Here is a 26909-nt window from a genome sequence, read left to right on the forward strand (position 1 = left end):
TTAACCTCTTTTTTCAGATGAAGAAATGAAATTTACAGTTACTTGCTCATGCTCATATAGTATGTAAATGGCACAAGTAGGACCCAAACTCAATGTGTAACTCCAAGTATTTTTTCTTTCTCATCATACCTGAGTCTTGAGTATGTATATTAGAAATTGATTATACTCCAGATGGTAAAGTGTGGGAGATTTTAAGCATATAATGAGTATATCATTGTAACTGGAGGAGAAAGTTCAATCGTTATATGATTCTTGTAAAGATCTTACAGTAGATGTATACTTTTATTACTTTACGCCATGATCTTTAATCTTTTGTAAATATTGGTGTAAGGTATTCAGTTTTTTCCCTAGATGGATACTCAGTTGTCTTAAGTCCATTTACTGAATAATCCCCCTTTTCCTCTACTAATTAAACGAAAAGTTTTATTGGCCAGGCATAGTGGTGTGCGCCTGTAGTCCCAGCTACTTGGGAGGCTGAGGTGGGAGGATTTCCTCAGCCTGGGAGGCAGAGATTGCAGTGAGTTGAGATTGTGGCACTGCACTCCAGCCTGGGCAACAGAGCTGTCTCAAAAACAAAACCAAACCAAAACCTTTATTGAAATGTAATTTACATGCTATTAAATTCACCTATTATAAGTACAATTCAGTTATTTTTAATAACTGTATAGAGTTATACAGTTTTTTAAAATAACTTTAAGATATTGTTTTTCATAACTCTTAATTGAAGTTTTCTTGGTAGATGGTATGATTTTCATTTTATAATTCATGGCATAATCTGCATCTTATAAGCATTTTGCCCAAGACTTTGTGGCCAGTAAATGGCAGAACCAAGACTCAAACTCAGCACCTTTTAGAAGTATTAGCATGATAGTTGAGAACAAATTGTTGAGGATATGCTAATGTCAAACTAAGAAGTTTGGATTTCATCCTTTAGCGTGAGCATCGCCAGCATCTTCTCTGTAATGCCCTACTTGGCACTTGTAGCTGGGTACTTTTTGGAAAATGTCTTCTATGATGGAACTCTAGTCTCTGAAGATGTTCCATGTAGAAAGGGTTCCCTACTCAAGTAAATTTGGGAAGTACTCTGACTTCTTTTTGGATGATCACAGTTCACATTGTATACACACATCCTGGGAAGTTGTACAGTAAAGAAATGGGTTTACTTGTTTTTACTCATTTTCCCCCAGAATTTTCCAAGTTTCTTGACCATAGATGACCTTTTGAGTAACACTGCTCTAGTATGATGTTTTTGGAGAATTAGACTCAATTCATTAAGAGGGGTTAAGTCTGAAGAAGAAAATTAAGCTGCAGGATTGGATTTTTTTAAAAAGTAGGTTATAATTGTGTACATTTATCTGTTAATAGTCATGGGGTAACTGCTGACAGATGGAGAAGTTCTTATTTTTTTTTAGACCGAATCTCACTCTGTTGCCAGGCTGGAGCGCAGTGGCGCGATCTCAGCTCACTGCAACCTCTGCCTCTCAGGTTCAAGTGATTCTCCTGCCTCAGCCTCCCGAGTAGCTGGGACTACAGGCATGTATCACCACGTCTGGCTAATTTTTGTATTTTTAGTAGAGACGGGGTTTCACCATGTTGGTCAGGCTGGTCTCGAACTCCTGACCTTGTGATCCTCCTGCCTTGGCCTCCCAAAGTGCTGGGATTACAGGCGTGAGCTAATGTGCCCAGCCGAAGTTCTGATTCATTAGGTATAGGATCCTTTGGTCCAAAGTTTGAAATTTTGTCTCTTGATTTATACTTATATATCCTTTTTTTTTTTTTTTTTGTAGAGATGGGGGTCTTGCTATGTTGCTCAGGGTGGTCCTGGATTCCTGGGCTCAAGTGATAATACCACCTTAGCCTCCCCCAAAGTGCTGGGATTACAGACATGAGCCACCATGCCTGGCCCCATTTCTTTTAAAAATTTGAAAGACTGTTTAGTATAGTAGCAAGATCACTTTTATGTCCCACGTGTACCATTTACTAGTGTTGTGACTTTGGGCAAGCTATAATCTCTGAATCAGTTTGCTTAACCATAAAATAAAAAGAATATCAACCTTGCCACAGTTGTTATTCAGATGTAGATTCATATCTATAATGATTGTTCAATTTCTTATTATTCTATAGTGTCTTAGTTCATTTCTGCAGCTCTTAACAAAATATTGGAGACTGGGTAATTTTTATAGAACAGAAATTTATTTCTCAGAGTTCTGGAGGCTGGGAAGTCCAAGATCAAGTCCAACCAAGGTGGGTTGGTTTGGTGTCTGATGAGGGCTGCTGTCTATGCTTCAAGATGGTGCCTTGTTGCCACCTGCTCACATGGTGGAAGGGTCTAACAGTTTCCTTGTGCTTCATAAGGGTGCTAATTCCATTAGCATCATGGCATGGTCCACCCTCATGACTTAATCACCATCTAAAGGCCCCAATTCTCAATACTATCACATTGATAAGTTTCAACACATGAATTTTGCAGGGGGTCGGGGGGACATTCAGACCATTGCATTCTGCCCCGATCCCTTAAATCCTTGTCTTTGTCACATGCAAAAAACATTAATTCTATCCCAGTAGTCTCAAAAGTCTTCCAGCACCAATTCAAAAGTCCAAAGTCCAGAGTCTCATCTAAATTAGGTATGGATGAGACTCAAGGTATTCATCCTAAGGCAAATTGCTCTCCAGCTATGAGCCTGTGAAATCAGACAAGTTACGCTTTTCTAAAATACGATGGTAGGACAGACACAGGATAGATACTTCCATTCAGAAAGGGAGAAATTGGAAAGAAGAAAGGGATAGCAGATCCCAAGAAAGCCCAAAACCCAGCAAGGCAAACAACATTAAATCTGGATGCCTGAGAATAATCTTGTTTAACTCCTTTTCTTGCCTTCTGGACACACTGGGACTGGGGGTGGGTCCTGAAGGCTTCAGGGAACCACGCCCTTATGGCTTTATCTGGGGCAACCCTTAATGCAACTCTCACAGGTTGGAGTCTGGTGCCTCTGGCTCTCCTAGGCTGGTGTTGGATGCTGGTGGCTGCACAGTTCTGAGGTCTCTGGGGGCAGTCTTGCCTTCACAACTTCACTAGACATAACCCTGGTAAAAGCTCTCTGCTGCAGCCTGCCCCTTTGGCAGTTCTCTGTCTAGCCCCTGAGGCTTTCTGAGGAATCCTTTGAAATCTAGGTGGGGATAGCCATGCCTCTGAGTGTACTGCACTCCTGAAGAGTTAGCACCATGTAGGCATCACCAAGGTTTACCCCTTGTGCCCACTTTTGCCCTCCAGAGTGGAGGCCTGAGCTGCACCTGGCTGCACTTGAGCCACAGTGGGGGTAGTCAGGGAGTCTTGCTTGGGAATAAAGGGAGCAGAGATGTGAGGCAACCCTGGGCAACTGGGCCTCTCCCTAGAAAACAGTTTTGTGCTCAAGGCTCTGCCATTGTGGGCCTGTGGTAGGGAGTAGCAGCCTTGAAGCAATCTGAAATGTCTTTGGGTTCATTCTTCCATTGTCTTGATGAATATCAGTTGCTTCCTTTTATCTATATGAATCTCTTTACCTTTTTATTTTATTTTTTATCTTAATTTTTTTTTTTTTTTTTTTTTTAGAGATGAGGCCTCGCTATGTTGCCCAGGCTGGTCAATCTCCTTATCAAAAGGTCGCTTGATCATGCTTGTGGTACTCTCTTCCAATACCACACCCCCGTTTTTTATTTTGAGACAGAGTCTCTGTTGCCCAGGCTAGAGTGCAGTGGCACAATCTCAGCTAGCTGCAACCTCCACCTCCTGGGTTCAAGTGATTCTCCTGCCTCAGCCTCTGCCTGGCTGATGTTTGTATTTTTAGTAGAGATGGGGTTTCAACCATGTTGGCCGGGTTGGTCTCAAACTCCTGACCTCAGGTGATCTGCCCACGTCGGCCTCCTAAAGTGTTGGGATTATAGGTGTGAGCCATTGCGCCCGGCCCAATACCCATTTTTAATCTTTACAACCTAGCCAGGCTGAGAATTTCCCAAATTTTTAAGTCCTGCTTCCCTTTTGATTGTAAATTTGATCTTTAGGCCAGGTGAGGTGGCTCATGCCTGTAATCCTAGCACTTTGGGAGGCTGAAGCAGGTGGATCACTCGGGCTCCAGAGTTCAAGACCAGGCTGGGCAATATGGTGAAACCCTGTCTCTACAAAAAAAAAAAAAAAAAAAAATTAGCTGGGTGTGGTGGCTCATTCCTGTAGTCCCACCTATTTGGGGGCCTGAGGTGAGAGGATTCCTTGAACCCGGGAGTCCGAGGTTGCAGTGAGCTTAGATTGCGCCACCGCACTCCAGCCTGGGTGACTGAGACCCTGCTTCAAAAAACAAAACAAACAAACAAATCTTTAATTCATTTCTCACATATTACTATAAGCAATTAAGAGAAGCAATATAGCATCCTCAACACTTTGCTTAGTGATTTATCCTGTCAAATATCCTAGTTTATCCCTTGAAAGTTTGCCTCACCTTACACCTCTTTTCTACATACAGGCACTAATGCCATTCATGAGGACTCTGTCCTTGTGACTTAATCACCTTCTAAAGGTCCCACTTCAGTAATATCACATTGTGGATTAAGTTTCAATATATCAATTTTGGGAGACACATTGAGACCATAGCACACAGAGATGTAATAGTTCTACAGGTTGAGTATACCTTATTTGAAATACCTGGGGCAAGAAGTGTTTTGGATTTCAAATATTTTTGGATTTGGGAATTATTTGCATTATACCTACTCGCTGAGCATCCCTAACCTGAAAATCAAAAATTGAAAATCTTCCAGTGAGCATTTCCTTTGAGCATCATTGGCACTCAAAAAGTTTCAGATTCTGGAGCGTTTTTGGTTCCAGATTAGGGAAGTAATAATAAACCTTTAATACAGATGGCAATAGAGCTTTTATGGAAAAGGGAATTGCAGCCTGGGCACAGTGGCTCATGCCTATAATCCCAGCAGTTTGGAAGGCTGAGGCGAGTGGATCACTTGAGGCCAGGAGTTTGAGACCAGCCTGGCCAACATGGTGAAACTTTGTCTATACTAAAAATACAAAAATTAGCCAGGCATGGTGGCACATGCCTGTAATCCCAGTTACTTGGGAGGCTGAGGCAGGAGAATTGCTTGAACCCGGGAGGCGGAGGTTGCAGTGAGCTGAGATCGTGCCACTGCATTCCAGCCTGGGCAACAGAGCGAGACTCTCTTAAAAAAAAGAAGTGTATTGTGGCTGGATGTGGTGGCTCACGCCTGTAATCCCACCACTTTGGGAGGCTGAGGCGGGCAGATCATGAGGTCAGGAGATGGAGACCATCCTGGCTAACATGGTGAAACCCCGTCTCTATTAAAAATACAAAAAATTACTTGGGTGTGGTGGCAGGCACCTGTAGTCTCAGCTACTCTGGAGGCTGAGGCAGGAGAATGGCATGAACCCGGGAGGTTGAACTTGCAGTGAGCCGAGATCACGCCACTACTCCAGCCTGGGCGACAGAGCGAGACTCCGTCTCAAAAAAAAAAAAAGTGAATTGCAAACTATTAGTCCATGGAAACAGTGTAGGATTTACTTAAAGTAGCTTGCAAAAATAAAGGATTGAAGGACTGAAAAATTCTTGATGATATATTCTTGGTAATTAAGGTCACTCACATATCTTACACTTAAGTAATTTAAATTTAAAAGTATTCTACATGCATTTTCTCATTTTTTTTTTGTTTGCTTTTTTTTTTTTTTTTTTTTTTTTGAGATGGAGTCTCGCTCTTGTTGCCCAGGCTGAAGTGCAGTGGCGCAATCTTGGCTCACTGCAACCTCTGCCTCCCGGGTTCAAGTGATTCTCTTGCCTCAGCCTCCCAAGTAGCTGGTCTTACAGGTGCCCACCACCACGCCTGGCTAATGCTTGTATTTTTAGTAGAGACAGGGTTTCACCATGTTGGCCAGGCTGGTCTCAGATGAACTGAGCTCAGGTAATCTGCCCACCTCGGCCTCCCAAAGTGTTGGGATTACAGGCATGAGCCACCGCGCCCGGCTGTATTTTTCTCTTTGAACACCTGGTGAAGTAGGTTGGATATGTGCCTGTTCTTGGTAATTAAAAAAAATTAATATATTTATGATCTGTATAGGATGGAATAACGTATCATTGGTTAGTGATTTTTTCCTAACTGCACTCCAAGTATCTATTCCTCTTTTCTCCCTTCCAAAACAAGAAAAGTCAAACGTAAGTATATGCGTGTGTGGAATGTTTACTTTAAAAAATAATAATTTTAGGCCGGGCACAGTGGCTCACGCCTGTAATCCCAGCACTTTGGGAGGCTGAGGCGGGTGGATCATGAGGTCAGGAGTTTGAGACCAGCCTGGCCAAGATGGTGAAACCCCATCTTTACTAAAAATACAAAAATTAGCTGGGCGTGGTGACGGGCAGCTGTAATCCCAGCTACTTGGGAGGCTGAGGCTGGAGAGTCACATGAACCTGGGAGGCAGAGTTTGCAGTGAGCTGAGATCACACCACTGCACTCTAGCCTGGGCGACAGAGCAAAACTCCATCTCAAAATAATAATAATACAATAATAATAATAATAATTTTAACCATTGATTACTGGCTATATCAGCACTCCCTTGCCACCTACCCTTGTTTTGGTTAAGTCCAGTCAGGTGTTTCCTCTGCTAGGGAGCATAAGTCGTCTTCTATCAAAGTTGTGTATCTGAAAGGAATATATATACCAGTGTTAATATAGTGAAAATAACTACCAGAAATTTGTGTGTTTATTGGGACAAATTCTATTTCTTAATGATAAGGTGTTATTAAAAGGTGGGAACTTTATAAGATGGTTTTATTGTCCTCTGACAATAGTTTAATATTCATTAATTTTACCAGTATTTCATTTTGCTTATGTGCAGTGGACCTTGCTTTCGAGGAACTTAAAAATTCTATTAAGACAAGACATTGACCATAGATATTTGAATTCTTGGCATGTTCAATAATTGTTCTATTGGCTTGTACAAAATGTGAAAAGAGAAAATTGGATTTGAAATTAATAAACATAATAAAAGCCTTTGAAGTGAAAAGCATTTAAAATCAAAATGCTATATTAGAAAACAATTTTACTCTAGAATTGTACTCTATTTTGGAGTAACCATTCTATTTTATTAGGAAAATGTGAAGAGTAGATGCCTTAAGGAATGGAGGAACCTCTCCCCTTATGGATTGCTCTGTCATCATCATCATCATCATCATTACTGTGAAAATAACTACATTGTAAAGAAAGTCATAAGATAAATGACGAATGTCTTTATTTATTTTTTCATTTTTTTTTGAAATGGAGTTTTGCTCTTGTTGCCCAGGCTGGAGTGTAATGGTGCGATCTTGGCTCACCACAACCTCTGCCTCCCAGGTTCAAGTGATTCTCCTGCCTCAGCCTCCCGAGTAGCTGGGACTACAGGCATGCGCCACCATGCCTGGCTAATTTTGTATTTTTAGCAGAGATGAGGTTTTTCCATGTTGGTCAGGCTGGTCTCAAACTCCCTACCTCAGGCGATCCGCCCGCCTTGGCCTCCCAAAGTGCTGGGATTACAGGTGTGAGCCACCATGCCTGGCCAAACATCTTCCTTTTAACCAACCACATGACCCAAAATTGTTAACATTTTGACATATTTAGTCATTTTTTTCTGTGTATGTGTAAGCACACATCATTACCCTCAAATAAAAATGTGTTCCCCTTTCACTTCACATTGTAAATGGTTATTACACTAGAAAGGAACAAAACTTGCTCCTGTTTTCTACTACACTCTCACACAACACTTTTGACACCAGAAGTGTGGAGTTTTTTTCCCACACCAGCCAATTCTCCAATTCTCTGGTTACCACATGGGTGTCCTACAATTCAATTATGACACTACTTGGAGTTAGTGCGGACTCCAGAGGTTAAGAGCTCAGTCACGCAAGACTGCTCTCCACTTCAGATACCAGTGACATGTAGCGGGTCCTCAGATTATCCACACTTCTATCCGACTTGGCTACAAATTGGGAGTTCCCACGACCCCTCCTCAGGTTTGATAATTTGCCATGATGGCTCATGGAACTCAGGGAAACACTTGCTTGACTGGTTTATTACAAAGGATACAGATGAACAGTCAGATGAAAAGGTAGAACAAGGATCTTTTTTCTCTGTGGAGTTGGGGTGTGCCACCCTCCTGGCTCATAAATGTGTTCACCGGCCCACAAACTCCTTGAACCCCACAGTTAAGGGATTTTTATGGACGCTTCATCTCGCAGGCAAGGGAAATTATTAACTCAGCCTGTAGCCCCTCTCTCCTCACTGGAAGATGGTTGGGTAGGGCTGAAAGTTCCAAACTGGTAATCAGGGCTTGGTCTTTCTGGTGAACGGCTCCCATCTAGGTACCTAACAAAAGTCACCTCATTAGAACAAACGCTACTCCTATCACCCTGGAAATTCCGAGGGATTTAGGAGGTCTGTGTTAGGAACCGAGGTCAGAGACCAAATATTTGAACCAAAGATGCTCCCAGCACCAAATATTTGAACAAAAGATGCTCCTAGTGCCTATCACTTAGGAAACAAGTTTTTTTAGGAGCTCTGTGCCAGGAACTATAGATGAAGACAAAAGAAATATGTATTTCTTTCGCAGTGTCACAGACACATACAATTATTTAGTCTTGGCTGGGCACGGTGGCTCACGCCTGTAATCCCAACACTTTGGGAGGCCGAGGCGGGTGGATCACGAGGTCAGGAGATTGAGACCATCCTGGCTAACAATGGTGAAACCCTGACTCTACTAAATATACAAAAAATTAGCCGGGCGTAGTGGTGGGCGCCTGTATTCCAAGCTATTCGGGAGGCTGAGGCAAGAGAATGGTGTGAACCCAGGGGGCGAAGCTTGCAGTGAGCCGAGATCACGCCACTGCATTCCAGCCTGGGTGACAGAGCGAGACTCTGTCTCAAAAAAAAAATTATTTAGTCTTTATTATCATTTTCTATAACAGTTTATTATGGAAAATTTTAAACTTTGATAAAAGTAGAGAGGATAGTGTCATCCCTGTCACCCAGCTTCAACAATGATTGATTTTTCCCAGTCTTATTTTGTCTGTCCTCCAATTTTAGTTCTGTTTTGCTGAAATATTTTAAACATATCCTGGACATTAGTTACCATGACTTTGAATTATTTCATAGTAGTTTTTCTATGGATTTACTTAATCATTCTTCTGTCGTTAGACACGTTAACCTACAAGGAAGAAGCTGAGGCAAAATTAATATAAACAGAGTCAGCCAGGCATAGTGGCCCTGTAATCCCAACACTTATAGAGGCTGAGATGAGAGGATCACTTGAGGGCAGGAGTTCGAGACCAGCCTGAGGATCATAACAAAATCGTCTCTACAAAAACAAAAGAAGAGAGTTTATTTGGGCCAGACTTGAGGGTTGCAACCCAGGAGCATAGATTCAAGTTGCCCTCAATATATCCTCTGATTAGCAGTAGTGGATTTTTAAAGGTAAAATGGGGGGACAGGGAGTGAAAGTGTGTCAGGAATTCTCATTGGCTTACAGAAATAACATTGATTCAGCTATACATTGTTAAGCTGTAGGGTGATGGTTACAGTGTCCAATGTGGCATTATTAGGTTAATTTATAGCTACTTACGGCAATAGCAGGCAGTTTCAAGAGATGAGCACATAGCTCAAAGTGGGGAGTAGGCTGTGACTGCTGTCTCATTTTAATACCTCTCTGGGCCTGATATTAAAAGGGTTTGCATTCTTCGGATAATAAATAGTTCTTTTTTTTCCCATTTCACATTGTTTCAAATTTCTTGTTAAAGATGAACTTTTTATATGTAAATATTTAGGTGTTTCTGATGATACTATTCAGCCATATCCTGAAGTTGTAATCACCAAAAGATATGAACCATTAAAATAAACTTTTTGTAATTATAAATGCAGTACATTTTCGTTATGGATGTTTTGGGAAATAAATTTTAAAAACTAAGAAGAAAATAAAAATTACCTCAGATTGTTTTCCAAAGAGACCCAACATCCCTTCTATCCACATTTTTGTAGTTTGCTTCTTACTGGGGTTGAAGGGGGTTTCTCAATGACTGCCTGGAGAAGAGCAAGCCTACTTGCGGCCCATCTTATTGTTAAACTAGCAGATTAGAAAATAGCTGTATGCTAAGCACTTACTAGGAAGTAGCATCTAAGACACAGTGTCCCGTTGATTGCCCTAATAGTTCTACAGTCCTTCAGTATCATCCTACCCTAAACTCTAAAGAGAACTATCAGTATTCCTGAATGCCATCCTATTGCTACCTCTGCAGATTTTTTTCCCCCTGAATTTTGAGTTAGTGTGAGTCTGCTGGTTTGTTTCAAAAGATGTGTTTTGAGAAACAGTCTTGAGAAAATTGCTTCTGTTTACCATCCAGTGATTCACAGGAGAAATTGTTGTCCTTTTACTGAGTTGAAGAAAGAAAACTTGATGAAGAAACTGGAAATGCAAGTGGTAGAAACTTAATCATATTGTGCCTGGGGGCTATTTGGTGACTCAGAAAATAAATTATTTCTGTGGGAAATAATTAGTCAGCTTGAGCACTGTTTAACATATTTCTGGAGCCAACCCAATTTTATTTGATCTTACCTGTTATGAACTGGTAAATAAAAATAAGTGTGACAGATTTGAGACTTTACAACTTATTTAGGAACACAGAAGTGAAATCAATGTTTCATCCTCTGAAATAATTTTAAATACTTGAATTTTCCTTCTCTTTCAGTTCCAGGAATGGATGGAGGTGCTTTAACTGATACAAGTCTCACAGATTCCTATTTTAGCACCAGCTTTATTGGAGTCAATGGATTTGGAAGCCCTGTAGAAACAAAATATCCCCTGATGCAGGTATCCTTAGTATAAATTCATATTGCACTATGAAGTTTATTCTAGGGCCAGAGGACATATAGAGTCTTCATTTATTCCTACATTTGTTGAGTGGGAGGTGAGATTTTAGGAGGCAGTGAGATGGGTGAGATGTAGGTAAACTATCTCCCATGGGGTTGGAGTTAATGAGAGCTTTTGTAAGTGGGGGTTTGGTAGGGTTAGGGGCAAGAGTGACGGGAGTATGTAGAGGGTAGTTAGAGACTAATTTCACTTGTGTATTTTGTATGTATGTTAGTTAAACTTGGTAGTGATTGCAATTTTAAAATTATGTTTTAAGCAGGTTATACATGTATTATAAAAGTTAAGTTACAAAAGGGCCTCCCTCTCGTCACTACTCATCACTTTTCCAGTTAACCTTCCTAGAGTTAGCTATCATTACTGGTTACAAGTTTCCTGTGTATCCTCTCAGGAATATTCTTTGCATATAGAAGCATAGTGCTAGTTTTATTTTGTTTAATGCTTAAAATGTTGAATTTAAAGTCATAGTACTTGGAGCATTTTACATTAAAAATGTCTTTGAATTTTTTTTAACCCCACTTTGTTCTTTTTGGCTCTTTTTTTCCCCTTTATCATATGACTGCATGCAATGCTTAGGAGATTTGTGTTTAGATGAGTTTTTGTTGATTTGTATTGCACAATTTTGTAGAATTGGAATAAAATTGGAAAGTATTCTAGTGTTTTTAATTGGAAAACTGCCATAATAGTAAAGGCAATGTATTGTCCTTTCTAGTTTCTGTGATGTACTACTGGATGGTTTTCTCCATTATTACAATAGGATATTTAAACACAAGAGAAATTCATCTTTACGTTTCTCTCCCTCTCTCTCTCTGGAGACAGGGTCTTGCTGTGTCACCCAGGCTGAAGTACAGTGGCGCAATCATGGCCCACTGCAGCTTCAACCTTCTAGGCACAAGCAATACTCCTCTCTTGCCTCAGCCTCCTGAGTAGGTAGGACTACAGGTGTGTGCCACCATGCCTGGCTAATAAAAATAATTTTAGCAGAGATGAGGTCTGTGTTGCCCAGGCTAGTCTCAAACTCCTGGTCTCAAGTGATCCTCCTGCCGTGGCCTCCCAAAGGAGGTATTACACGTTGGGATTACAGGCATGAGCCACCACTCCTGGCCTAGTGTTTATACTTCAAGTTGGACTGATTTTAAGGGTTTGTATGAAACCAATGCTTTTTTGAATTATTTTAACTTATTTCGTGTAGATATGCACTCTAAGGGTTGTTTATAAAGAAACATGCACAGCCATATATAGAAATGGTTATGTTTTATGAACAATATAACTAGTTTAATGCATAGTTATACCTTATTTTAACTGCCTGTGAGCCACAATTTCAGGTACTTTTTAATATATATTTTTGTATTAAAATTACCTCAGGAGCTTAGCTTTTTTCTTCTCTTTTAAAATTATGCAGACATTAAATAAGAAGTTGAGTAAACAGATTCAGGACTCTAGAATTAAAGCCAGAGCTAGAAATTCTTAACTTATAATTTTTAAGGCATTGAGTTAGAAGTTACATATGAGACAAGGATTTGTGGGCATGGGATGAAGGGCCTTACAGGATGGAGAGACCATACAGGCTATGGAGTGAGTCTAGAAAGCATAGAACGTGTTTAGAGAACAGAAAATACCTAATTTTATAAGCTCTATAAGGTGTATGAATGGTAGTACAAATGGAGAAAGGGTATTAGAGCATTTACTCATTTTATTCATAGTCAACGGGTACCCTCTTCAGTGGATATTGGAATTTATGTTTTACAGACAAGGAAACTTAGTTATGTGTTTTGCCCAGGCTAATAAGTTATGGAAGCACAATTCAAAATAGGTCTGTAGCTTTGGCTTTGAATACCTGGGTAGTGAGTAAAATTTTCATTTCATGTGGTGGTTTTTACATAGTTGTAATCCAAGCAGTAACACTTACAGGAAGATTAGATTGTCAGTAATGTGAACAGTAGATTGGAGGGGAAGAAGCAAAGAGAGCCAGTCTTAATTGGTTGGATACTTTTATTTCTGTATTCCTCAGTGATGTTATAAATAAATATTTTGTTTTTCAGAGAATGACTAATAGTAGCAGCTCCCCAAGCCTTCTAAATGACAGTGCCAAGCCATATTCAGCCCATGGTAAGACCTGATCCCTTTTGCTTATGTGTGTCTGTGTATATATTTCTTACTCTAAAAGTAATATACAACCATTGTAGAAATTTTGAAAATTGTAAACGGGCATAAAGAAGAAAATAAAAATTATTATCTTCCCACTCAGATCTAACTATTGAGATTTAGATTCCAGGCCAGGTGTGGTGGCTCATGCCTGTAATCCCAGCACTTTGGGAGGCTCAGGTGGGAGGAATGATTGAGCCCAGGAGTTTGAAACCAACTTGGGCAATATAACAAGACCATGTCTCTATTATTAAAAAAAAAAAGAAAAGTGTATAAGTTATATACAAAAATTTCAACATGCTATTTTATTAACATCTTGCTCTTTGCACTATTAGTTATTTAATATTAAATTCATGTTAATTTTAATGAAGGTAAGTCTGAAAAACCAGGAAGAAGAAGGCAGAGAAATGAAGCAGCAGTCTATATGTACTACATTGTGAAGAGATTTAAGGTTCCTTTACGTAAGGGCATTTAATATATTTTTTAGGATTTAGCAGAACATGTAATGAGATTAATAAATAAAAAATTAAAGCTCAGAAATGAAGATAAATATTTAAGTATATCTCACACATGCCTTTTCAGAGACTCTTCTCATTTGTAAAGTGAGAAATAATTAAGATATATAATTTTATTTGTAACTTCTTTCTACAGAGTAGTGGAATTTTGAACCTACAAAATCTTTGGATTTCATGTTTGAAATAAATTTTGAAAAACTTTATTATTTCTGTCTTAACTTAATATTTTACTTTATCTTTTTAGTAATAATATCAAACATCTGGTGATAGACTTTAAAATATGGAATAGTTTGCAGAGTAAATGGTTTTAAAGCCTTGCTGATGTGTTGAAATCCAAGACAGGATCTCTCAGAGTCTATGGTTGACACTGCCCCCACCCCTCACCCTCCTTTTTATCCTTCCCAAGATATGGTCTCAAGATTATAAACCTTTATTTACTTTAGGTCAACTTACTGCCTTCATAAACACACTCACAATAGTATGGTTAAGAGGTTTTTTTCTCTTATTTGATTTTTCTTTTGGTTCTAGTCAAATAGATCTATCCTGATCCATATAGCTTTTGAATATTTGAGCAAATTGGTTCACCAGTTTGTGTTTTATTTGCTCAGAAAATATTTGAACATAACTGTGTGTTAGGTACTAAGTTTAATTATTGTGTCATTTGATTTTTATAGGCATTGTCAAATTAAACAGTTATTAGATTTGCGGGTTACCCAAGTTTTATGTGTGGAAACTTACGTAACTTACCTTTCAGATCCTCTAACATCACCTGCTTCATCCTTGTTTAATGACTTTGGTGCCCTCAACATCTCTCAGAGACGAAAGGTAGGTGAAATTGAAACTTGAATTAAACTAAATGGAATTTAGAAGTGATGTTGGCATTGTTACCTATGTAGTGTCAATGTTTTTGTAAGTGGAGGGAGAGCTTTTTATGGGCTTTAGTGTTTTTCCTGCCTTTTGTTTATCCTTTTTCTTTATCTTTTTATATGTGGAAATTTATTTGATCTCTGCATGGAATAGAGATTTTGTGTGAAGGGATGAAATCCTGCTTATTTTTGTTCAGTTTATTTATCTCAATGTATTCTGTTCTTAAGATAACATCTAATTTAATGTTAAGTTGCTGTTAATGTGACCCATTGTAAGCATGTTAATCATGTTTAAACTTTATTTTTTGATGGCTTTATCTAAATTTCAAAAATTCTTCCCTAATTTACTCCTGATTACAAGGCAAACTTAAAATTTTCAACATTTCATAATGGGCCCAACAATTTAAAAAGTTGAAAATCTCTTCACATTAGAAATTTAATTTTATTTGGAATTTAGATTGATAGACCATGTATGGATTTTTGAAGTATTTTATAAGGACTGATGTTGTGACAAGTTGAATAATTTGATGCCTTTGAGTCTTAATGAGAATCTTGTTAATACTAATAATCATCTAGAGAAGATAGTCTTTTTTGGTTAGGATCAGCAACAGCTAAAGATGTTAAAGAGGTTCTAAATCTTGGTGGAAGTTATTATAAAGTTATAACATTGTTTCCTAAGTAATGGAAGAAAGACCCAAAATTTAATGAGAGTAATAAATGTAAAATTAACTAAAGCTCAGAAATGAAGATAAAATATTTCAACATATCTCATTAATATTAATTTTAGAATAACTGATATGAACTTAAGATACTTTTAAGAAGGATCTGATCAGCAGATAGTATAAAATGAAATTCAAGAAGACTGTGGTGGTGTTGGCTTCACGGTGTATAGTTATCCCCAAACTCGTTGAGTTGTATACATTAAATATGTATAGCGTTTTACATGTCAATCAGACCTCAATAAAGTGGTTTAAAAAATTCAGAAAGACTAGATTTTCTTAAGAGAAAAAAAAGTTATGAAGACTGATATAAATTATGTTAAAACCTCATGTACCTAATGTTATTTCCATTTTGAGACATGGATGAGAATAAGAAGGTAATTACAAAATGCTTTTTAGCAACTAGAATTGATAGACTAAAATCTGTGGGTTTAATGGATTTCCTTATAGGCTCTTATCATGGATAAATTTACCCTGCTTTACATACTTCTCTTATAAACTGGAATACTTGGTTTCTAAATCCGTATGTTAGCAGTGTAATAATAGAGTTGGACAGAAACAGACCCAGGACAATAGACAAAGCCTAACAATGTGGAAGCAAGCAGTAAAATGCTGAAAAGCGAATACAACCTGGAAATCAAGTTATCTGGAGCTTTTTATGGGAAAACAGAAAGTCTTTAAATTTTCTTAGGTATTCCCTAATCACTTTTTCTCATTTATAAAATAATCAGTTAACTTGGCTGGGCAAGGGGCTCAGGCCTATAATGCCAACACTTTGGGAGGCCAAGGCGGGAGAATTGCATGAGCCCAGGAGTTTGAGACCAGTATGTATAACATACCAAGACCCCATCTCTTATAAAAATAAAAAAAATTAGTCAGGTGTGGTGGTACACACCTGCAGTCGCAGCTGAGGTGGGAGAGTCGTTTGAGCCTGGGCGGTTGAGGCTGCAGTGAGCCAAGATCATGCCACTGCACTCCAGTCTGGACAACAGAGTGAGACCCTGTCTCAGACAAAAAAAAAAAAAAATCAGTTAATAACTAGCATTTCAGACATACGAGTAGAAAGTAAAACTAGAATGACAAATTAATGTTTAAAAGTATTTCTAATATAAGAGGTTAGTGGGATGTGTCTTAAAGTGGAAATATATGATTTAGAGCTCCTGACATTTACTTTTGAGAAAATAATAAAAATTATTAGAAATTGAGAATATATAGTACCTATTCTTTTTATAATTTATTTTAATACAATAAAATGTTACTAGAAATGTTACTAGAAATTTGAAAATAATGTTAGTAGAAATGTGACCTAAATATTTGGAGAGATATTAGAATATATCCAATGGAAGCAGACTAATATAGAAAAATGAGCACTCTACTGTGATATTTGAGGCCCTGGATCTCCCATTTTGTGACCTATGGCCAACTTTCTAGGCTGTAATCATCCCATCTGTGAAATGAAGAGCATGACCTCATCATTACCATAGTTGCTGTGGTGTCCTTCATCTCTAAAACTTAATGTCTGTCTAAATTGAAAGCATCCATATGTCAGTTTCTACCTAGAAATTTGTGGTTCATATATTCATATAGCTTGAAGGACTATATTTTCTTGCCATTTATATTTAAAATGATGTGTAATCTACAGACACAGAGTTTTTCCAGTAGTGAGCAATATAGTTAGAATCTTTGTGGGTACAGGTTGCATATATTTTAAAATTGTTAATGGTTGAGTTGAGAAGGTTTCAAATCTCAAAATCTCTTTACATTAGAAATACTCTTGGCATAGGAGTATGACATATTACACATAGTGAATTAAAGGCATATGAAAAAATGTCTGTTTAACGAAGTAATTTTAGTGGAAGTAACTCAAAATTATATGAATATTGTAATTCCAAATTTATCTCAGCAGGCTAGCATGATTACTTAGTGGTATTTTGTTTTACAGTGATATAGGAGAACAAATAATTAAACTATGCTTACCACTATTTCATAGCTAGTGAGGTAAATTATTTTCTGAAAATCTCAGTTGGGCCAGTCTCTGAGCCAGATATGCTAACTTTTGCCTGTGGGATTATGTGATTTACTGGGGTCAGAATAGTCAGGTATTTTTATAGTAGGCAGTTTTACTATATGCTATGTGGACAAATTGAAAATGAAGGACTGAGTTTTTTTTTTTCCCTTAAATCTAATTGGAGATGCAATACATGAACCTACAAGGGAACATTTACTCAGCAGCATATTAATTAGTGCCAATTTAAATATTTGATGATTGCTAGGTAGCAAAGAATTCTCTAGATCCTGAAGAATTTATGGAGAAAAGATGTTTTGAATTGGGTTTTTTGTGGATGAGGAATGTATAGAGGCAAAGATACCTAGGCAAAAGGTATGCTTGCTTACAGGTGATAGAGGTAGGAGCTTTAGTAAACTCTAATTCTTCTTCATTCTGAGAATCATAGATAAACTAAGAAATACGGCTGAGGCCCCTTAGTATCTTTAGGAACTTCAAGGGAAATGTGGGATGTGAAAAATAGTACAGTCTGTTACAATGGCTCATGCCTGTAATCCCAGCACTTTGGGAGGCTGAGGCTCGAGAATCACTTGAGGTCAGGAGTTCAAGACTAGCCTGGACAATGTAGTGAGACCTGGTCTCTACTAAAAGCCAAAAACATTAGCCAGGAGTGGTGGTGAACGCCTGTAGTCACAGCTACTCGGGAGGATGAGAGGTGGGAGGATGACTTGAGCCCAGGAGGTGGAGGCTGCAGTGAGCCGTGATCACTCTAATGCACTGTGTGACAGAGCAAAACCCTGTCTCAAAAAAAAAAAAAAAAAAAAAAAAGGCCCAAAACAAAACAAAGTACAGAAGGGTCACAGCCATATATCTAGGCTGTATAATTGTTGTTAACTATGTGAGAAACTTCCTGAAGAGTTGTGTGGTGAGAATGTATGCCTTAGGGCAGTACTACTCATAATGTGTCATGGGACCAGTGCTAGTCTGTGAATTGTCTGTTAGGAGATAAACACTGAAAATAAATGTCTAGAGACTTCTATAACAATTTGATAATACTGTGACATTCGAATATGGAATCATTTTTCTAATTATCTTTATTTTACAAAATTATAGGACCATGATTTATAGGAGATTTTTTAAAAAGTGATCTTTTTTGATGTTTGAGAAGCACTGATTTTCTTTTATTTGTCACATTAGGAATGCCTAATTTTATAGAGAGAAAAAGTAACCATTATTTGAGGTTTGTTAAAAATAGGAGTTAATATACAAGAGATTATTACATGAGTAAACCTTAATAGCAAGATAGATAAAATTAAATTTGACCACTGTTATGAAAAGAAGTAGTTTTGAGAGTCACTGAATCACAAATGTGATCTAGACAAGCATTAAAATTTCCAATGAGAAATTATTTGGGAACAAAATATCTTTACAACAGAGTTAGATATTGGAATACAGATATTCATAAATGAAGTGATTCAGTGCTATGATATCTTGCTGATGATTCTTGCTAAGATAGAAGTGTTTATGTAGGGCAACCATGTATGATTGAGGCAAATCCCAGGCAAAATGAGAAATCTTTCAAATTTGTGTCAGCTTGGCTTTCTCCTTTTATATCTTTCTGGGCTATTGCCCTTCTTCATCTTCTTTTTTTATTCACCTAGTCACATTTTTATTCAGCTTCCCCCTACTTCTTCCATTTCTTTGGTTTATACCCATCGTTTATATTTCTTTGGTTTACTTTAGTATGTTGTTTCAGTCAATATGCGGTTTTATGTGGATATTTGTATTATATTTTTAATACGGAGATAACAGATTTTCACTTCTGTAAATTTTTTTAAGTTTTAATAACAAGTTAAATTCTTTGGGGTTAGGAGGCAAAGACTTTTGAAGTATCATGTTTATCTCTTCTGTTCTTGCTTTTAAAGCTTTTTGTTAGGACTAGGGAAGTGGGACCAAAGGGAGCTGGCTGGTTCGTCTGCTGATAGCTTATTTTTGAGGAGATGTGGTTGCTAGAGGTACAGTTCTGGATTATTCTGCTTGAGAGAAAAATTCACCAGCAGTACTTTTCTCCGCTTTCTTCTTTGTTTGAACCTAGCTTGGGTCTCCCTTTTGCACTGTTGTTTATCTTAAGAGCACCCATCTCTCTCTGTTACAAAACTTACTGATGATAAATATTTTATGTTTTCTGATTAACTTGACATTTAAAAGTTTTCTTATAGCATTTTTATTCTAAAGTCTTCCTTTGAAAAATGATTTTTACATTATTTCTATTCTAGGCAAGCAAATATGGAATAACAAAGACTAGAGCATATTTACGGTAGAGTTCTTCTATGGAAAAAGATAAAGTAAATTTGGAGAAATTAATCTGAGTATAGCATAGACAATTTGGAATGTAAATCTTAATCCTTCTGATGGTTAAGCTAGGCCTTTTTTGCATATTGAATCAAGTATTGATGTCAGAAAAAATAAAGGAGAAAATGGAGAAGACATTGAAAAATAACTAAAATTTTAAAGGAGATTGTAATCTAAATTTAATCTGTAAAATGACTGTTTTTAGGTTCTTTATGTATGTTCTCAAAGAAATAATGTTTTACTTGGTATTTAGATTTCCAGTAAGCCACATCATTATCTTTTACCCATTGAGTATTGTTCACTAATGTTTCTGGAAAATTGTGGCGAGAATTCCAAATTAATGCCCTCAGAACTATTATGCTCTGAAATCACTAAACATTCATTCACCTCCGCTTGTCAAGATGGAGGAGGGAATGTGTGCCATCTCAGCCTAAGCCAAGTTTAGGAGAGCTTTTAGGCTTAGAGATATGTTTTCCTTTGGAAACTGACACAGTTATTGGAGTCCAAGTTCGGGGTATGGGGAAGACACCCATGTGTGGTTCCTGTTTATAGCTTACTCAGAGCCTCTTGGAGAATTTTAATTTTTCAAAGAACAAACAGCAGGAATGATAATAACACGGCAGTGTTGGATAGTGGTTAAGGCTTTAGGGTTTAGAGTTAGATGCGAGGCAGTCAGGATTGAATTAGTGTTGCTTCACTGATTATCTTTGTGTCTTCAACTTAGTAAACCTTTTTGTTTCTTCATTTGCAAAATGAGAATGTGGTACCTAGTAAGTAAGGTTGTTTTCAGGACTAAATGGGACATGTTGCCTGGCACAGAAGTGTTGACTATTATTGGTAGTAGGTAGTAAGTGGTGTTGGTCAAATTTTGAACTTTGCTTGGAAATTGTTAACTGTTGTTAATTAAGTATCCCTGGCTACTCACTCTGTATCAGGCTGTACTAAAATTGTCCTCTGGAAACGTGGTTCTGTAGCTGCTCTGAGGATGTCTACCTTTTCTTTGAGATGTTCAGGCCTCCTCCTCCCCCAGTATTAATTTTTTGCCTTCTTCCTCACAGAAACTTCTTCCTGTTAGCTTCTCAAACATGTCCTCCAGATCATGTGAAAATCCATTGGGGGTTTCTTGCAACATAATTGCAGACAGATAGAAACTTGATTTTATTTATATGAATGATGATTTTCCGTATTTGTTCCAGATAATATGGTAAACCTAAATAATTATTTTATAAATTAAATGTTTTATATTTTATCATATCATTTAGTTACATCAACAGTTCTTTGGGAGAGATTATTTTTTCTGTTTTGGGAAATAGAAGTTTGAGAGATCAAGTAATTTGCATAGAATAATATAAATTACATAGGGCAATATGAGAAGGGTAAGTTGACTGAGTTTACTCTAGGGTGAAAAATAGGCCACTGGTAATATGGAGAGGAGGAGATAAAACATCGTTTAACCTTATGCCTGCTTCTTTTTCCACTTAAGTGATTTTTTTCAATGTAAATTTCTGTCAAAATGGTTTCTGGGGCAAGAATAGACAATTGAATTTTTTATAATTGACAGACAACTTTTCAGAAATGTAGCACAAATTATATTCCAACTAATAGGGGCTGGTTTTTCTACAGTCTTGAAAACACTGGGCTATAAAAATCTTTAATATTTTTGTAATTTCACAGGCAAAAAACTTCATTTAAATTTGATGGTGTTGTAGACTTCTCTTTTATGTTTATTGGTCATTAGTGTTATTTTATGTCCTTTTCTCATTTCCTATTGGGCTATTTTTTAAATTCATTGTAAGAGGTCTTTGTACATTAGAGATGTAAATCTCTTCTGTCACATGTTACAGTTTCCCTCCATTTTGTTATTGGTCTTGAATTTCACAAGTAATTTATGCTGTCAGTTTTGAAATGTCATGCTTACTCTGTTTCTCTCATACTATGTTTAAAATAGCAAAATATTAAGCCAATTTTTGTTAAAATAACATGGAAATCTCTGCTCTAATGAGTTAGTAATTCGAATATAAAGGGCCGTCCTTGTTTTTATATAATTAATTTGAATACACTGTGATTTTTATTGTGAATGATCTCTAGTAATCAGTTTCCCTTAGTAAATGGCTATGTGTTCTCTCTTTTCTCTGCTTTTTAACTGGTAGGCTTGAATGTTCTTCCTGTTGGTTATCTCCAGTCTCAGTCTATTCTTTTCTTAAAATATACAAGTAACATTAGATTGAAACTTGCTAAAAATATGGTAGTTCTTATAGAGAAAGACTTTGAGAGTTGACTTTTCTTTCCTGCTAAGTAAAGAGTATTCGTGGTTGAGTTTCCAGGATTGGGTTGAGATAAAGATGTACTTTGGAAAGAACAGATTAAATTTTGTTTTAACAAGTGTGAGGTTCAACCATGTACTTCCTGTACTTTATTTTAATTGGCACTTTGTGTGCAGCGACCATTTGTTTTTGTTTAATCCAGAAAACTTCCTCCAAATTCATGATTGTAGGAGAATTTTGTTCTGTTGATTGATTTTTAAAAAGAGCTCTCATGAGTTTGTTTTGGAAGCCTTTTTTTTTAAAGGTGTGTGTGGTAGTATGGTGTTTGATGCTTTATCATATTTAAACGTGAACTGAAATTTTTTTATGCCTTTTATATACAGTTTGTAATACTGTTGGCTGTACTCATCATCTAATTTTATAGCTTTGAAGATTTTGAGTTCTTATACACAGTAATGGTAGTTTAAGTAAAACCATGGTGCATTTATCTCTTGAACCTACAAACTAGTAGATCATTCTAAGGTTAGCTGGTTGGCTTCTTTACACTCTGGTCATTCTATTTGCGAAGTGTAGTAGCTGATATTTAGGGGCCTAGCATTATTGATAGCTCATCCCTATTTTCCTAGGAGGTAGGTATGGGGAATGAATTAGTAAAGGTGAACTTAAAATTCTCATCCACAAACATGCTAGCCTAAGCTCCAAATTAAATGTAACCAAAACCGTGTGGTTTTCCCCAACTCTGTTTTATTCCCAAGATTTGTTGTCCTTGTATTTTGAAAACGGGGAAGGAGAACTTTTAAATTCTAGTTATTTGAATGAAGTCTTTATCAGTTCTCATTGATTCCATCCATGCTAATTAAATACAAAAATATTTCTTCATTTGGGTATATGTATTTTGTTATCTTAGGTTTAGCTAGAATGACATTAAGATTGTAATGTGTTAAGGAGTATTACAGAATGTGGAATTGATTTCTTTGAGTTGGATATGAGATGTTATAGTTAAGAGTACAATTGTTGGAACCTGACCCTATGTTAATTTTGAGATAATAGGCAAGTTATTTTAACCTTCTCTCAGACTTACTTTTATCATCTGTAAAGTTGGTATAAAATAGGCGCTATGTCCCAGAATTATGTGAATTAAATACATTAATGGATATAGTGTTTATAATGCCTTGTACTTGTCAAATGGTAGTTATTGTTATAGTCTCCTATTTATGATCTGCAATTTAAAAGTTTGTTTATCTAATTATGTACAAGACGACTTTTCATTATTTACCATCTTTGTTTAAATTCAATTATAATAAAACTCATTTCTGAAAAAGTGTACACATACAAGTTAAATAAAATGGAAACCTTTTGCTAAGAAGCCAGTAGACATTCTGGCAGCTACATAGTGACAGCTACATGGGAGACTGAGGTGGGAGGTTTGAGTTCAGGGGTTTGAAGCTGCAATGAGCTGTGATCGGGCCACTGTGTTCCAGCCTGGACAACAGAACAAGACTGTTAATATAATGAATGCATTTGGTAAGGGACTGAAATTGATAGAAAACTTTAATGATCATTACAATTGATAGATTATCATGGAAATAACTTTCTTGTTTAAAAAAATAAAACTGGCCTGGCATGGTGGCTCATGCCTGTACTATCACCACTTTGGGAAGATGAGGCAAGAGGATTGCTTGAGACTAGCCTGGGCAACATGGTAAGACCCGTCTTTAAAAAGAAAAAGCCCTCGTGAGATGACTCACACCTTTAATTCCAGCACTTTGGGAGGCTGAGGTGGGTGGATAACTCGAGTCCAGGAGTTTGAGACCAGCCTGGGCAACATGGCGAAACACTGTCTCTACAAAAAATACAAAAATGAGCTTGACTTGGTGGTGCACGCCTGTAGTCCCAGCTACTTGGGAGACTGAGGTGGGAGGATCACCTAAGCCCAGGAGGTTGAGGTTGCAGCGAGCCGTGTTTGCACCACTTCACTCCAGCCTGGGAAACAGAGCAAGAACCTGTCTCAAAAAAATACAACAATTTTTTTCACTCAAAATATTTTATTAACTTTGGCATGCTATTTTATTTCTTTATATCTGGTACGTATTGTGGTTCCAGTCTAAAGCACAAGGATATAAGAAGTTGCAGTTGGTGTTCCAGTTCTTTAGAAATTGAATGTGCCCTTGCATAGCAAGGTCTTCCAACTGATTTTATTTTTGGTAGCATAAAATCCCTTTGTAACACTGAGATTTTAAGAACATAAGTAAAGACTGCTTTGTAGACTTCCTTAAATTACTATGTAGATAATGTTTGTCCCCCTCAATGACCTGACTCATAGCAGAAGCTACAAATACGTGTATATGTGTTTATACATGTAAATTATGTTCTGCTGTGTTTGATATAATTTATTTTTCTCATTTTTTACGTATTTTTGTTTTTTGAGGGGCAGTGTCTTGCCCTGTTTCCCAGGCTGGTTCAAACTCCGACTTCAAGTGATCCTCCTGTCTCATCTACCCAACTTAGCTGGGACTACAGGCACATGCCACCATGCCCAGCTAATTTTTTAAATTCTTGTGGAGACTGGGTCTCACTCTGTTGCCCAGGCTGGTCTTGAACTCCTGGTCTCAAGTGATCCTCCTGTGTCAGCCTCCCAAAGTGCTGAGATTACAGGCATGAGCCACCTCACCTGGCCCAATGAATGATTTAAATGACACTTTAAAATGATCTATGTTTTATTAATCAGAACATCTTTACAAACTTGAAAAATAGTAGTATACAAATGTGAAATATCTCTTTTCAGACACTGCTTAAACGAGTATATGAATTTATTTTCTTTTACAGCATCAACTCAGCAGCCTATCTCCTGACACTCCTAAGGGTCTTAGGTACATCAATTGAGAAATCTCTGGCCTAGGATTTATTATATATTTATTTCAAAATAAGCCTGCATTTTTTTTGCAACCTCCTCTGACTCCTAATGAGCTTCTTTCTGTTCATTAAATATCCTGATACTTTAGCATATCTGCAATTATAAGAATTAAATATCAAATTATACCATTAATGATTAGTGGTTAATCACTTGAGGCCAGGTGTTTGAGACCAGCCTAGGCAATATAGCAAGACCTGGTCTCCACAAAAAATTTTAAACAGTTAATGGAGCATGGTGGTGTGCACGCATAGTGCCAGCTATGTGGGAGACTGAGGTGGGAGGATCGTTTGAGCTCAGGGGTTTGAAGCTGCAATTAGCTATAGTTGGGCCACTGCACTGCAGCCTGGGCAACAGAAGACTGTCTAGAAAAAAAAAGAAAAAGAAAAAAATTACATTGTTTCAGAGTGTAAATAGTGAAATGATTACACAGTGATTATGTTTTTGATGTTCAAAGGAGGTTTTTATAATTCACGGCATTGGAAACTTTTTGTCCTGAAGCAACAGTTTTCTCTAGTTTATTATTAATGAGTAGACCATGATATGTAATAACATGTGACTGATAATGTGAGGCATTTTGGAGATGGTGCTGTTTTGCAATTACCAAAAGAATTAAATGCTCTGAGAATTGGTCTGTTACTTAGTAGCTTTAACTACATTTTTTATACAAGTGCTGGTATTTATAGATTGTTCTTCTAGCTGCACTCTGAACTTTTTGGGAGAAGAGAATAGATCTTCTTGATCATTTTATTTTTAAGAATGATAGAGAAGTTTATACTGAAATGTTGAGTAAATCAAGGAATGAAAAAATATACATGTGTGTCCTAAAATTACCTTCTGTTCTTTCCTTTGACATAGTGAGTCTAGAGGCTTACCTCCCTTGTAATGAGAGTGGACTTCCCTTAGCCCTAAACCACTGGAACTGGCTTTTATGAAGTGGGGCAAAGGTTTTTGGAAAAGCTAGGGCTTTGAGGGCTACAAATAGTGATCTTAAAAGCTCTCAGTGTTAGCCAGGCGTGGTGGCTCACGCCTGTAATCCCAGCACTTTGGGAGGCCACGCCGGGTGGATCATGAAGTCAGGAGTTCAAGACCAGCCTGGCCAACATGGTGAAACCTCATCTCTACTCAAAATACAAAAATTAGCCAGATGTGGTGGTGGGTGCCTGTAATCCCAGCTACTTGGGTGGCTGAGCCAGGAGAATGGCTTGAACCCAGGAAGCAGAGGTTGCAGTGAGCCGAGATCATGCCACTGCACTCCAGCCTGGGGCAACAGAGTGAGACCCCGTCTCAAAACAAAAAAACAAAACAAAACAAAAAAACTCTCAGTGTTAAGATCAAGCTCCAAGGGGGCAAGGAGCTACAAGGACTTGCGATGCTGAATTTTTAAACCCCTACCCCTTTTCATTTTGAGGAGTGACTCCAATTTCTGTTTGTATCACTAGTTATTTCTTCTCCAGATCTCTCTGACGTTATTGAGAACTTTAGTACTCAAAGTGCGATCACCAGACCAGGAGCATCTGCAGTCTTGGGAGCGTCTTTAGAAACACAGATTCTTAGACCTCGCTCTAAGGCCTACCGAATCATAATCTTTTATTTTAGCAAGATCCCTGGAAGATTTCTGTGTTCACTATTGTTTGAGAAGTGCTACTCTAGAATATATTTTCAAACCTTTTCTTCTTGAAAACTTTTATTCAAGCCTTGAGCTTTTTTGTTTGTTTTGATATTTTACTTTTGAGACAGAGTCTTGCTCTTATCACCCAGGCTGGAGTCCAATGACACAATCTTGACTCACTGCAAACTCTGCCCCCCGGGTTCAAGTGATTCCCCTGCCTCAGCCTCCAGAGTAGCTGGGATTATAGGCGCGTACCACCACGCCTGGCTAATTTTTGTATTTTTTGGTAAAGATGAGGTTTCACCATGTTGGCCAGGCTGGTCTGGAACTCCTGACCTCAGGTGATCCGCCCGCGTCGGCCTCCCAAAGTGCTGGGATTACAGACGTGAGCCACCTCACCTGGCCAATTTGTTTGTTTTTTGAGATAGAGCCTCACTCTGTTGGCCAGGTTAGAGTGCAGTGGCACAGTCATAGCCCACTGCAGCTTTGAATTCCTGGGTTAAAGTGATCCTCTCACTTCAGCCTCCTGAATAGCTGGAATTATAGGCACACCACCACACCTGGCTTATTAAAAAAATTTTTTGGCG

The 26909-nt window shown here is 37.7% G+C and overlaps 1 protein-coding gene across 13 annotated transcripts in view; it reads left to right on the top strand.

Moving 5' to 3' along the window:
* PAN3 (poly(A) specific ribonuclease subunit PAN3) overlaps nucleotides 1–26909 on the top strand; it is a 157143-nt gene that overhangs the window by 25325 nt on the left and 104909 nt on the right. For 11 of the 13 annotated variants that reach the window (XR_941549.3, XM_011535034.4, NM_175854.8 and 8 more), the window contains exons 2-4: nucleotides 10755–10876; nucleotides 12976–13042; nucleotides 14348–14418. Coding sequence is in view for 10 of the 13 variants with exons in the window: in NM_175854.8 (NP_787050.6) it covers nucleotides 10755–10876; nucleotides 12976–13042; nucleotides 14348–14418 (260 nt within the window). In the remaining 3 variants the exon portion in view is untranslated. Of the gene's footprint in view, nucleotides 1–10754; nucleotides 10877–12975; nucleotides 13043–14347; nucleotides 14419–26909 lie in introns of those variants that run through there. The other 2 variants (XM_047430253.1, XM_047430251.1) reach the window with 2 other exon arrangements.

Source organism: Homo sapiens, chromosome 13, assembly GCF_000001405.40.
Source record: "Homo sapiens chromosome 13, GRCh38.p14 Primary Assembly".
Lineage (NCBI taxonomy): Eukaryota > Metazoa > Chordata > Mammalia > Primates > Hominidae > Homo > Homo sapiens.